This window comes from Homo sapiens, chromosome 3 (genome assembly GCF_000001405.40).
Source record: "Homo sapiens chromosome 3, GRCh38.p14 Primary Assembly".
NCBI classification, from domain to species: Eukaryota; Metazoa; Chordata; class Mammalia; order Primates; family Hominidae; genus Homo; species Homo sapiens.
In genome coordinates this window covers 123,589,090-123,603,281 of record NC_000003.12, presented here as the reverse complement: position 1 = coordinate 123,603,281, position 14,192 = coordinate 123,589,090, and the positions used below count along the sequence as shown (strand labels likewise).

Here is a 14,192-nt window from a genome sequence, read left to right as displayed (position 1 = left end):
AGATCACTTGAGGTCAGGAGTTCAAGACCAGCCTGGCCAAATGGTGAAACTCCGTCTCAATAAAATAATTAGCCGGGTATGGTGGTGCATGCCTGTAATCCCAGCTACTCAGGAAGCTGAGGCAGGAGAATCTCTTGAACCCAGGAGGCGGAGGTTGTAGTGAGCTGATATGGCCTCACTGCATTCCAGCCTGGGTGACAGAGTGAGACCCTGTCTCAAAACAAACAAACAAACAAACAAATGAAAATTATTACTAGTGTATAATAATTTCATTTTCATTTTAAATTCTTCAATTGGCTTATAACAAAACTTCCCAAGAAAAGCTCCTACAAATAACTTCTCAAATGAAATGTCTCATGATAATTAAATTTATAAATACAATAAGACTTAATGTCACTTAAATGGTCCAATACTGTTATAAATTTAGTAAGAGTTAAATCTTGAATCCCAAATCTAAGTCAGTTACACAATTTATATGTTAAATTGGAATCACAGGCTAATCTGTTTCTCTAATATGCCTTTTTATTTTTATTTTTTTTTGAGCAAGGTACCGTCCAGGCTGGAATACAGTGGTGCTGTCATAGCTCATGGCAGCCTCAAACTCCTGGACTCAAGCAATCCTCCTGCCTCAGCCTCCCAAGTAGCTCAGGACTACATGCATGCATTATCATGCCTGTAATGAGAAAAACCTGGAATCATATAGAAAAACCTTCCCCCAAGCTGGGAGGGAGCCAAGAGACCAAACAATGACTCAGACAAGTCCAGTTTGGCAAGTAGATGAGTTTATTAGGACTTATATAGGAGGTACTCCCGGACAGCAGCAGGACAGCTTTAGAGGCCCATGCTGCCTCCCATCCCTATGCTGCTTTTAAACTAATTTTCTGGCTCTTTGCCTACTGTGTGTGTTATGGGACTTTTTTCCCAGGTAGGTTCTCAGATACTCTCTGGAATGTTTGGGTTCTCAGGGACACCTGCTCCTTGACAGGACAGAACAAGACCCCATCTCTAAAAAAAGAATAAAAAGGAGTACCTAAAATAAGGATTTTAACTAACATTTAATACCATATGTTTACTTTGTAACTTTTCTAAATTCTAAATTTCATAAAGTTAAAGAAAGTTGTTTATTTGAAGAAACATTGCCTTTCCACTTAGGGGAACATCATCTTCTCAGCTGGCTGAGTTTACTCTGACCAAACACTTCAGCTGAGCATGAGACTTGGAATTATAAGACACCCTGGAAATATTTCTTGTGACTCTGATTGCCGAGCTAAGTTCCTTTCTGTAGTCACTACATTCTGGACTCTAAAATCCAGTCCTTGAGTTTCAGTCCTAAATATTCCTTTATTCCTGGAGTTTGCAACCCCAAATAAGATTGTAGCTAGGACAGGCACAGTAATCCCAGCACTGAGAGGCCAAGGCGGGTGAATCATTTGAACCCAGGAGTTCAAGACCAGCCTGGGCAACATGGTGAAACCCTGTCTCTAATAAAAATACAAAAAATCTGCTGCGTGTGGTGGTGTGTGCCTGTAGTCTCAGCTACTCGGGAGGCTAAGATGGGAGAATTACCTGAGCCCAGGAGGCTGACGCTGCAGTGAGCCATGATCTGCCACTGCATCCAGCCTGAGTGACAGAGTGAAAACCTGTCTCAAAAAAAATATTGTAGCTAACATCTTTCATCACTACTTGGTTTTACATTTCTTCAATTATCCTTAGATATGTAATGTTTTCCAACTACCTGTAAAGATACTTATGGTCATTCCATTGGATCCTCAGGATTCTTATTTAAGTCTGTGTGCTAGTCAAGGTTCTCTAGAGGGACAGGACTAATAGGATAAATGTGTATATGAAAGGGAGTTTATTAGGGAGTATTAGCTCACATAATCACAAGGTGAAATCCCACAATAGGCTGTCTGCAAGCTGAGGAGCCAGGAAGCCAGTCCGAGTCCCAAAACCTCAAAAGTAGGGAAGCTGACAGTGCAGCCTTCAGTCTGTGGCCAAAGGCCCAAAAGCCCCTGGCAAACCACTGGTGTAAGTCCAAGAGTCCAAAAGCTGAAGACCCTGGAATCTGATGTTCAAGGGCAGGAAACATCCAGTACAGGAGAAAGATGGAGGCCAGAAGACTAAGCCAGTCTAGTCCTTCCACTTTCCTCCTCCTGCTTTTATCCTAGCCACCCTGGCAGCTGATTAGATAGTGCTGGCAGCTGATTAAGGGTTGGTCTGCCTCTCCCAGTCCACTGACTCAAATGTTAATCTCCTTTGGCAACACCCTCACAGACACACCCAGGAAGAATACTTTGCATCCTTCAATCCAATCAAGTTGACACTCAATATTAACCATCACAGTCTGTTAAAACCTTTTTGGAGTTGGTAGAATCCCAAAATGTTTTCATGTCCTTCTTCATGGTAGGGTCACACCCCTATGGACATTAAATGATATCCAACCGAATTCTGCATTATCATGGATTTGTCAGATAGTGCTAAGGTCATTCTAATGACTGTGAGCATTCTACAGCAAGGCCCACAGTAAACAGGCCCCAGCTAGTCACACAGTTTCAGTTTTTAGTGCTTCACTCTTAAATACAGGCAAACAACTAAATAACATCAGATATTTGAGGAAAATTTTCTAACACAAAAGACAAAGAGGACAACGAGCATTAAAAAGAACTTGGAAGAAATAGAGATCATATAGGGAGGAAAGGAAAACAATAATTCATATCCTCAAAGAAATTTAAGAAAATAGTATACCCAAAACCAAACAGGATGCTATATACAAAAAATAAAAATGAAAAATTAAAGCAGCATTCAAAGAATTAGGTTGGAAAACATAATTATAGAAATCTCCCAGGAAGAAATAAAAAAAGAGGCCAGACACAGTGGCTGACAGCTGTAATCTCAGCACTTTGGGAGGCTGAGGCAGGCGGATCAACTGAGCCCAAGATTTCAAGACCAGCCTGGGTAACATAATGAAACCCCATCTCTACAAAAAATTTAAAAAAAATTAGACAGGTGTGGTGGTGTGTGCCTGTAGTTCCAACCACTTGGGAGGCTGAAGTAGGAGGATCACTTGAGCCCAGGAGGTCAAGGTTACAGTGAACTGTGGTTGTACCACTGCACTCCAGCCTGGGTGACAGAGTAAGACCCTGTCTCAGAAAAAAAGGAAGAGGAGAAGGACGAGGAGGAGGAGGAGAAGGAGGAAGAGGAAGATTAGGAAGGGGAGGAGGAGGAAGGAGAAGAGGAGGAAGAAAGAAGAAAAAGGAAGAAGAAAAAATAAGAAGGAGGAGGAAGAGTGGGGGGGGAAGGGAAGAAAAACAAGAAGATGACAATGAACAACAGAAGAGAAAAGATAAAAGAATCAGAAGAGGTCCAATATATAAACAACAGAACACTAGAGAGAAAAGAGAAAATGGGGCAGAAGTAGAAGTCAATATCCTACCTCACAAAATATTAATTGTCTAGGTCAGTGGTTCTCAAAGTTTGGTTTGGAACTCCAAGACCATTTCAGGGAGAACATGAAGTCAATACTACTTTAATAATAATGCTAACTTGTTATTTGTCTTTTTCACCCTCTTTCACCAACAAATGTAGAAGGGAGTTTTCCAGAGTCTACCTGATGCGTAACGAAGTCATCATTGTGAGGGTTTATATTTTCTTGTGATTTTACATTTCTTAGTTCTAATTTCTAATATGGTAAATAATACATAGTTATAAGCCACATTAGAAAAAGTTCTTTAGGATCTTCAATAACTTTTAAGAGTTTGAGAACCACTATTCTAGGTGATCATTTATTCTAAATATAGCTAAGCACATTCCTTTGAAGCTCCTATACAACACCCAAAATGCAACCTATATTACTATTGTCTCCTCTTCCTTTTCTCTGAGCTTCCCACTAAAAATTCCACTCATATGAAAACATCAAAGAATTTACTGACTTTGTAAGGGTTGTGGATAAAGGAGTTTATATCAATCAGCATTTCACTTCAAACCCCCGCAAGACCTGCCTCTTCTCCCAAGTTTCCCTGTTTTTACTTTTCCCCCATGCTCTCTCTGGTTTTGTCTGGTGCAGTGGAGTACAGTGGCCCACTCAAGGCTCACTGCAGCCTCGACCTCCTGGGCTCAAGCTATCCTCCTACCTCAGTCCCCTGAGTAGCTGGTACTACAGGTGCCCACCACCACACCTGGCGAATTTTTGTATTTTTTGTAAAGATGGGGTTTCACCATGTTGCCTAGGCTAGTCTCAAATTCTTGGGCTCAAGCAGCCCACAGGTCTCAGCCTCCCAAAGTGCTGACACTACAAGTGTGAGCCACCTTGCCCGGCCTCCATCCTTTCTCTTAGTATTGCTATTTTCCTCTTACCTTTTTCTCTTCCCTCATATAGGAAAGTTTAATTTTATCCAAGATTTAGCTAAACTAGCAAAAATAAAAAACAAAAAACAAAAAACCCATATTACTGATATCTACCCTCAATAGAAGACAGAAAGAAAAAGAGGAATTATAGTTTCTGATACAAAGAAAAAATTTAAGTCCAGGTGCAGTGGCTCATGCCTGTAATCCCAACACTTTGGGAGGCCAAGGAAGGAGGATCACTTGAGCCCAGGAGTTCAAGACCAGCTGGGCAACATACGGAGACTCTGTCTCTACAAAAAATTTAAAAATTAGCCAGATGTGGTGGTATGCACCTGTAGTCCCAGCTACTCAGGAGGCTGAGGCAGAAGGATTGCTTTAGCCTGGGAGTTCAAGGCTGCAGTGAGCTATGATTGCACTACTGTACTCCAGCCTGGGCAACAGAGTGAGATCCTGTCAAAAAAAAAAGAAAAAGAAAAGAAAAGAAAAAGAAATTTTAATCACAAAAACTACTACATTCATTGGAGAAAAAGCAAAACACATATAAACAGAAAGAACATTTGAAAACAAATGATGCTGTCTCTCACCCAAAAATAAACATTATTAATATATTGGTATACCCCCTCCAGATTTTTTTCTCCATAGACAAACACCTATACCTAATTGTTAAAAAATGGGATCTTACTACATGCCATGTATAATCCACTTTTTTACTTAGCATATTCTAAACAACGTCCATGTCAAATACATTTATGCAATATTATTTTCCCAAACTTTCTCTTAAAACTTTTTCAAAACCAGGCATGGTGGCTCATGCCTATAATCCCAGCACTTTGAGAGGCTGAGGCTTGAGCCCAGGCATTCGAGGCTGCAGTGAGCTGTGATCATGCCACTGTACTCTAACCTGGGCAACAGAGAAAGACCCTGTCTCTAAGAAATGGGAAATAAAAAATAAAAACTTTTTCAAACTGAGAAAAAAAATTGACAGTTGCATCTAATGCCCTTCACATACAGTCAATGTTAGAAGAAGATTTACCCTGAACATCTCACTTTTCTGCATGGCTCAGGTCCTCTGATCGAAGGCAATTGCAAACAATTCAAGAATACTTATATAAGGAGACATCTCAGGATAGTAAAGCGTAGACATGTTTACCTCCCTGGAGATGGTCCAGGATAGTAAAGATAAAGAACTCTTCTTCCTCCCTTCCTGGACAAGACTTGCTTACATTCCAGAGTAAACTAAGGTTTCTCTCTCTCTGGAGAGGATGATGGGCAGGTCTCTGGCAGTTATATAGAAGATCAGAGTTTCCTAATTTTTACAGGGCTCCTGTCCTGTAATGCACCCCGCTGCATGTGCAGGTACCATCTCGCCCTCATGATGACCCTTGGAAACCAACATAGGATGTTGCTTGGGCTGCTGCTTTTGCTACAAATGATTAATTGTTTTTGTTTTTGACTCAGAAGCCTCATTTAAAAGTAAGTTTCTGCAAAACCATTTTTAATGGCTGAATATACTATTTTAAGCTTCCATCATAATTTAGTCAGTCTATACTGCTGGACATTTAGATTGTTTCCAACAGTTTGGAAATATTCTTATTGTAAATAGCATTGTGATGAATGAACTTTTATAACTAAATCTTTTTTCACATCCTAAATTCTTTCTTTAGGATAAATTCCAATGGCTGGGTGCAGTGGCGTGTGCCTGTAGTCCCAGTTATCGGAAGGCTGAGGTGAGAGAATCACTTGAGCCCAGGAGTTTGAAGCCAACTTGGGCAATAGAGCAATATCCTATCTCTAAAACAGATAAAAATAAAAAAGTTCCAAGAAGTGTAATTGTTGGGTCAAAGGACACGCATAATTTTAAAGTTTCAGTATATATTTATGTATTTCCAAGCTGTCTTCCAGAAAGTCTATCAATTTATACTTTCAATAGCAAAGTGTAAGAGCACAACTGTTCTTATACGCCTGCCAACAGGGTTACTGACATTTTGAGTAAGAAAAGAAAAAGAAGAAGACATCTATCTCATTGTTTTAATCAGTGTTTATTCATAAACGTGATTGAACTTCATTAGTGTGTTCATTAACTATTTGTAGGGAGACTATGGCCTGCAGCTGATCACAGCATCATCAAATACTAAGGCAACTATCACACAGCCTCTCACATGTGTCTCTTCTCTCCCCACATCTGCTGAGGGCTCAGTTCTTCCAAGTTCAGATTCTCAAAGAGATGAATCTGATATAGCCATTTCATATTAGGTTGTATCACCAGCCAGTCTAAGGCACCGCTAACTGGAAGTTTAGGGTGGAATTTAGAGTCTGATTCCTATCACCCATCCCTCTTTTCCTCCAGGGTTTTGCATGACAGAAAAACTAGATCACCAGCCAAACAAGAATCCAAATGTCAGCTGTCTTTTTTTTTTTTTGAGATGGGATCTTGCTCTGTTGCCTGCCCAGGTTGGAGTGCTGTGGTGCTATCACCATCCACTGCAACTTCAATCTCCCCAGCTCAAGCCATCCTCCTGCCTCAGCCTCTCAAGTAGCTGGGACTATAGACATGCACCACTACATCCAGCTAATATTTCTATGTTTTGTAGAGGCAAAGTCTTACTATGTTGCCCAGGCTGGCCTCAAACTTCTGAGCTCATGTGATCCTCCTGCCTTGGCCTCCCAAAGTGCTAGGATTACACCATGCCCGGCCCAAATGTCAGTTGTCTTCGTGGTTGGTCAGGCACCCAAAAACATACCCTTGAAGAGTTCTCTGATGCTGGCCAGTTTGGAGACAGCAGCAGGGTCACATCTCACCTTCCTGAATTGAAGATAGCTTCCTGGCCTGGCAGGACTGATCAGAATTCCACCCCAGTTCCCACTGCCAATCACAGGCAGAAAAACTAGAAAAGAGAAAGAGTGGTGCACTGCAAAGCAGAAGGAAGAGAAAGCCTGGCTGCCTTTCAGTTCAGTGACTGTGCAGAATCCCTTGTCTCCAAGTAAAAGCATGGCCCTGTGAATTTCACAGATCTTAACTGATCCTATTAATCTTTTCTCCTCGCTGTGAATAGGCAGAAGCCAGATATGTTTATTTCTAATATTCCTTGTGATAGGAGTTTTTCATTTTTGGCCTCCTAGTATCTAACACTTCCTATTTGGAAAAAAATCCAATAAAGAAGCTTAAGTATGGACAAATAGCCCCTTTTCCAGATCCCTTGTCTCTAGAATTTGGGCACAGGACCTTCCAATCAGACACTCCTACCTAAGACCTTGATTCTGGAGTAACAGAAAGAAGCAAATGGCACTTAGAATCTTTCCAGAGGTGGAAGAGGAAGCAATAAGGGTACTGTCCAACGTCTGATGGTGGTTGTGCCAATGACAGACGCAGTTGGATACTAACCAGATGCTTCCTGTGTATTGATTTGGTCTCTATTTCGGGCTGCCTAATTTCCCATGGCTCCTTTCCAAGTTCCAAGCCTCATTCTTCAGCTTTTCCATCAATTTTGTGAGCTATGTAATGTCCTTTCAATAAATTCATTTTCTCTCTAACTAACCGAGAGTTAGTCTCCATTATTTAGGAACCTCGAAATTTGGTTAGTACATATGTCTTTTTGTACCTTTTCTATGAAGACAAAAAGATAAGAAAGAGGGGTGCCCACCTCCAGTTCAGAAGTATCCACTATCCTGACTTTTGTGATAAACATTTCATGATTTTGCTTTATAGTCTTGGCATCTATGTATGTAGTCAGGGGAATGAGAATAATATGGTAGAAAATATGGCCCCTGTCTGTCAATCTCTTCCCTGAAAGAGATGGCAGTGACTCCAGTCTCTAACATTCTTATTATGTCCAGATTAACTATACGATAGCTTCCTAGATGACAATCCTGGTGCAAACCATCCTATTTCCTACTATCAGGATTCCTCTCTGCTTTTAATTTATTATAAATTTCTTATGCATATTTAACGTATAAGATGTATCTAACATATAAACTATATGTAAGTTATGAGCATAAAAATGAACACTCATGAATCCACACCTAACTTAAGAACATTACCAACAATGGTGAAGCTACCCGTGCACTTTTCCTGGATGTCATACCTCTGCCACTCCTTGTGCTGATCATTCCTTTGTTTAAAACAATTATGAAATATAACTGACATAAATATACACGTTGATGAAACATCATGAAAGGAAAACCTACAGAACCATACCAATGTGAGGAAATGAAACATTTCCTACTCCCAGAACCCCTCCTCATACCCTCTCCCAGTCCCTGCTCTTTGTCTCCTCTTGGTCATAAACTCCTCTCTCTTCATCAGAGGTATCCACTATCCTGACTTTTGTGATAATCATTTTCTTGGCTTTTCTATACAGTTTTACCACCTGTGTCTGTATCCCTAAACAACATCATTTCATTTGGCCTCATTTTGAACTTTAGATGAATGGATCATACTGTGTATATTCTTTTGTGCCTTACTTCTGTCATTCAATATTTTGTTTATGAGATTCATCCATGTTGTTGAGTAGAACTGCAATTTGTTCATTTGCATTGCTGTAATGTATCCCATCATAGGAATGTACCATGATGTATTTATTTATTTTACTGTGGATAGACGTTTTGTTGTATTCAGTGTGGGGTATGATGAACAATGCTGCTTTGAATATCCTGATGCATGTATCCTAGGAGATCTTTAAGATCATCGACCTGGCAGTAGAATAGCCATCACGGGATATATGTATCTTCAACTTTACTAGATAATGCCAAATTGTTTCCCAAACTGAACACACCAATTAATCAACAGCAGTCTGAAGAGTTCCTGCCGCATCACATCCTTGCCAACAATTGGTGTTATCAAACTGTTGAATTTTAGCCAATCTAGAGGATAGTTAATGGTATCTCACTGTTGTTATACTTGCATTTCCCTAATTAATAATGAGAGTGAGCATATTTGCATGTTTATTGACCATTTATATTTTCTTCTGTTCAAGTCTTTGCTCATTTTTTTTCAATGTGATTGTCTATTATTGATTTGAAAGAGTTTTCATATATCCTGGAGGCTATTCTTTATCAATTATACATGTGGCAAATATCTTGTACTCTGTACCTTGCTTTTTTGCTTATTTCATGCTATCTTTTGGCAAACAAAAGTTCTTTATTTTAATATAGTCAAATGTACGAATCTTCTCATTTATGGTTGGTGATATTGATAGTTTTAAAATTCTATACCTTTGAAGTAATATTCTTCTGCATTAATTTCTGTTTTTTAAAAAATTAGATATGGGAGTTTTCACTATGTTGCAAATGCCAACACCAGTTCTGTGAATCAGAAGCTAAACCTGGAACCATGGCAACATGAGGAAGCTGAAGCTCCAGGATCCTTGAAGCGCACACTAAAGTGGTCCGGATGCCATCTGGCTTTTAGCAGAGGTATATAAAAGTCCTTCTGAAGGAAAGCATCCCAAATGTAGGCCCTTGGAATTTCCATTGATTTAAATTCAATAAAATAAACTCACAATAAAAAATTACAGGGAGATTAAGCCACCATGAGTCAGTGAACAAAAACAACAACAAAAAAAAAATGATTTAGTCCCCCAGAAACTTCAAATATTGGAATTATCATATAGGGAAAATAAAATAAGCCTGTATAAAATATTCAAGAAAATAAAAGATGAAATAAAAAACATAATTTATGTCCACATAAAAACCTGCACATGAATGTTCATATGAACTTTATTCATAAGTGCCAAAATTTGGAAGCAACCAAGATGTCCTTCGATTGGTGAATAGGTTAAAAAAAAAAGAAGGTACATCCAGACAATGGGATATTATTCAGTGATTAAAAGAAGTGAGCTGTCAAGCCATGAAAAGACACAGACAAACCTTAAGTGCATGTTGCTAAGTGAAAAAAAAAAAAAAACAACAGAAAGGCAACATCCTGTATAATTCCAACTATATGACATTCTGGAAAAAGCAAGACTGTAGAGACAGTAAAAAAATCAATGGTTACTATGGGTGTGGGAGGAGGCTGGTTTGGGATGAATAGGTAAAGCACAGATTTTTAGGGCAGTGAAACTATTATGTACAATGTGCCATGACAGATACATGGTATTATATATTCATAAAAATTCATATAGGCAAGGAACAAGGGATTATTAAAAATGACCAGACAGATTTGAAAGGTTTATGTATTGTTTAGGAAGATGATAAAGTACTGATTAATATTAGACTTTAATGAGTTAATGATCCATGCTGTAATTTCTATGGTAACCAGTAAAAGAAGAGAAGCAAGATGTACAAATTCCAGTAAGTAGAGGGGGAAGAATAAGTGATATTTTAAAAATTATAAATGCAAAAAAGGAGTGATACGGTTTAGCTGTGTGTCTCCAACCAAATCTCATCTCAAATTGTAATCATCACGTGTTGAGGGAGGGACTGGTGGGAGGTGATTGGATCATGGGGATGGTTTCCCTCATGCTGTTCTAGTGATAGTGAGTTCTCACGAGGTCTGATGTTTATAAGTGTTTGGCAGTTCCTTCTTTGCTCTCTCTCTCTCTCTCCTGCTGCCTTGTGGAGAAGGTGCTTGCTTCTCCTTTGCTGTCCACCATTGTATTAGTCCCTTCTCACACTGCTATGAAGAAATATCTGAGACTAGGTAATTTATAAAGGAAAGAGGTTTAGTTGACACAGTTCTGCATGGCTGGGGAGGCCTCAGGAAACTTACAATCATGGTGGAAAGGGAAGCCAACATATCCTTCTTCACATGGCAGCAGGGGAAGTGCCAGATGCTTATAAAACCATCAGAGCTTGTGAGTCTCACTCACTATCCCAAGAACAGCATAGAGGTAACCGCATCCACGATTCAATTACCTCCCACTGGGTCCCTCCTACAACACATGGGGATTATGGGAACTAAAATTCAAGATGAGATGTGGGTGGAAACACAGCGTAATTGTATCAACCATGATTGTAAATTTCCTGAGGCCTCCCAAGCTATGCAGAACTGTGAGTCAATTAAACATCTTTTCTTTATAAATTACCCAGTCTCAGGTAGTTCTTTATCGAAGTGTGAAAATGGACTAATACAGAAGATTGGTACTGGGAGTGGGGCACTGCTATAAAGATACCTCAATATGTTGAAGCAAGTGTGGAACTGGGTAACAGCAGAGGTCAGAACAGTTTGGAGGGCTCAGAAGAAGACATGGGGAAGATGTGGGAAAGTTGGGAACTTCCTAGAGAATTGTTGAATGATTTTGACCAAAATGCTGATAGTGATATGGACAATGAAGTCCAGGCTGAGATGGTCTTAGATGGAGACGAAGAACTTATTGGGAACTGGAGCAAAGGTCACTCTTGCTATGCTTTAGCAAAGAGACTGACAGCATTTTGCCCCTGCCTTAGAGATCTGTGGAACTTTAAACTTGAGACAGATGATTTAGGGTATCTGGTAGAATAAACTTCGAAGCACCAAAGCATTCAAGATGTCACATGGCTTTTTCTGAAAGCAAACGGTCACATGCGTTCACAAGGAGATGATCTGAAATTGGAACTTATGTTTAAAAGGGAAGCAGAGCATAAAAGTTTGGAAAATTTGCAGCCTGACCATGCAGTAGAAAACAAAGACCCATTTTCCAGGGAGATATTCAAGCAGGCTGCAGGAATTTGCACAAGTAACAAGGAGCTGAATGTTAATAGCTGAGACAATGGGGAAAAATGTCTCCAGGGAATTTCAGAGATCTTCAGGACAGCCCCTCCCATCACAGACCTAGAGGCCTAGGAGGGAAAAATAGTTTCCTGGGCTAGGCAGGCCCAGGGCTCTACTGCTGTGTGCAGCCTCAAGACATGGTGCCCTGTGTCCCAGCCACTCCACCTCATGGCTAAAAGGGGCCAAGGTACAGCTTGGGCCATTGCTTCAGAGGGTACAAGCCCCAAGCCCTGGCAGCTTTTATGTGGTGTTGGGCCTGCAAGTGTGCAGAAGCCAAGAGTTGAGGTTTAGAAACCTATGCCTAGATTTCAGAGGATGTATGGAAATGACTGGATGTCCAGTCAGAAGTCTGCTGCATGGGCGGAGCCCTCATGGAGAACCCCTACTAGTGCAGTGCAAAAGGGAAATGTGGGGTTGGAGCATCCACACAGAGTCCCCACTGGGGCAATACCTAGTGGATCTGAGAATAGGGCCACTGTCCTCCAGACCCCAGAATGGTAGATCCACCAACAGCTTGCACCCTGGACCTGGAAAAGCTTCAGGCACTCAACTCCAGCCCATGAAAGCAGCCTTTGGGACTGTACCCTGCAGAGCCACATGGCAAGAGCTGCCCAAAGCCTTAGGAGCTCACCTCTTCAATCAGCATGCACTGGATGTGAGACATGGAGTCAAAGGAGAGTATTTAAGAGGTTTAATATTTAATGACTGCCCAACCAGGTTTCAGACTTGCATGGGGCCTGTGGCCCCTTTGTTTTGGCCAATTTCTCCCATGTGGAATGAGAACATTTACCCAATGCCTGTACCCCCATTGTATCTTGGAAGTAACTAACTTGTTTTTGATTTTACAGGCTTGTAGGTGAAAGAGACTTGCCTTGTCTCAGATCAGACTTTGAACTTGGACTTTTGAGTTAATGCTGAAATGAGTTAAGACTTTGGGGTACTGTTGGGAAGGTATGATTGGAATAGCATGTGCAAATTCCCTGAGGCAAAAAAGGAGTACTGCTCGATGGAAGACCTAAGATGAGGCCAGTATGACTAGGAGGGGCATGGTGAGACTGAGGAGGCAGGTAGGGTCTAGTCTATGCAGATTTTTGTATACCATATTAAATATTTTATGCTTTATCCTAAGTGTCATCAAAAGCCATTTAAATATCTTCAGGGGTGGGGCAGAGGAAGGTAGTAGACACGAACAAGGTTGTATGTGGAAAAGATCACTTTGGCTGTACTGTAGAGCAGGGGTCCCCAACCTCTGGGCCACAGACTGGTACAGGTCCATGGCCTGTTAGGAACCCAGCCACACAGCAGGAGGTGAGCAGCAGGCAAGTGAGCATTACCACCTGATCTCCACCTCCTGCCAGACCAACAGCGGCATTAGATTCTCATAGGAACACGAGCCCTATCATGAACCATGCAGGCGAGGGATCTAGGTTGCAGGCTCCATCTAATGCCTGCTGATCTGAAGTGAAACAGTTTCATCCTGAAACCATTCCCTCCCCAGTCCATGGAAAAATTGTCTTCCATGAAACCAGTCCCTGGTGCCAAAAAGGTTGGAGATTGCTGCTATAAACAACAGACTGGAGTTGGGCCTAAGTGACTGCAAGAAGATACATTGAGTTTTAAACTGATTTCCAACTGAACAGAACTTTATGCATTCCTGCCTCCTCCTACTTTCCCATTAAGTAGATTATATTGAAAAAAAAATCAGTCAAATGAATGAAAGAAGCTTTTAGATGAATGATTATTTGGTTTTGTAAAATGGTTCACTTCTTTATTTCTTTTGCAAAGAAATTTTTTTGCCCTCTGATCACAGTGTGCAATTTGGGCTCACCAACTTGCTCTTTGAAAAATTCAGGAAGGTCGGGTGTGGTGGTTCATGCCTATAATCCCAGCATTTTGGGAGGCCGAGGCAGGTGGATCACCTGAGGTCACGAGTTCGAAACCAGCCTGGCCAACATGGCAAAATCCCGTCTCTACTAAACATACAAAAATTAGCTGGGCGTGGGGGCAGGCACCTGTAATCCCAGCTACTTGGAAGGCTGAGGCAGGAGAATTGCTTGAACCTGGGAGGCGGAGGTTGCAGTGAGCCAAGAGTGTGCCATTGCACTCCAGTCTGGGGGACAAGAGCAAGACTTCGTCTCCAAAAAAAAAAAATTTCAGGAAA

At 40.9% G+C, this 14,192-nt stretch overlaps 1 long non-coding RNA gene across 2 annotated transcripts in view, besides 1 other annotated feature; it reads right to left on the bottom strand.

Moving 5' to 3' along the window:
* Positions 1–14,192, bottom strand: part of MYLK-AS1 (MYLK antisense RNA 1) — a 45,309-nt gene that overhangs the window by 27,540 nt on the left and 3,577 nt on the right. The gene's annotated exons all lie outside the window — the stretch shown is intronic.
* Positions 12,254–12,454: a silencer, noted in NCBI's record as "peak4801 fragment used in MPRA reporter construct". NCBI's record gives its function as "represses an SCP1 promoter by STARR-seq MPRAs in K562 erythroleukemia cells {active_cell/tissue: K562}" and the evidence as "EXISTENCE:reporter gene assay evidence [ECO:0000049][PMID:32103011]".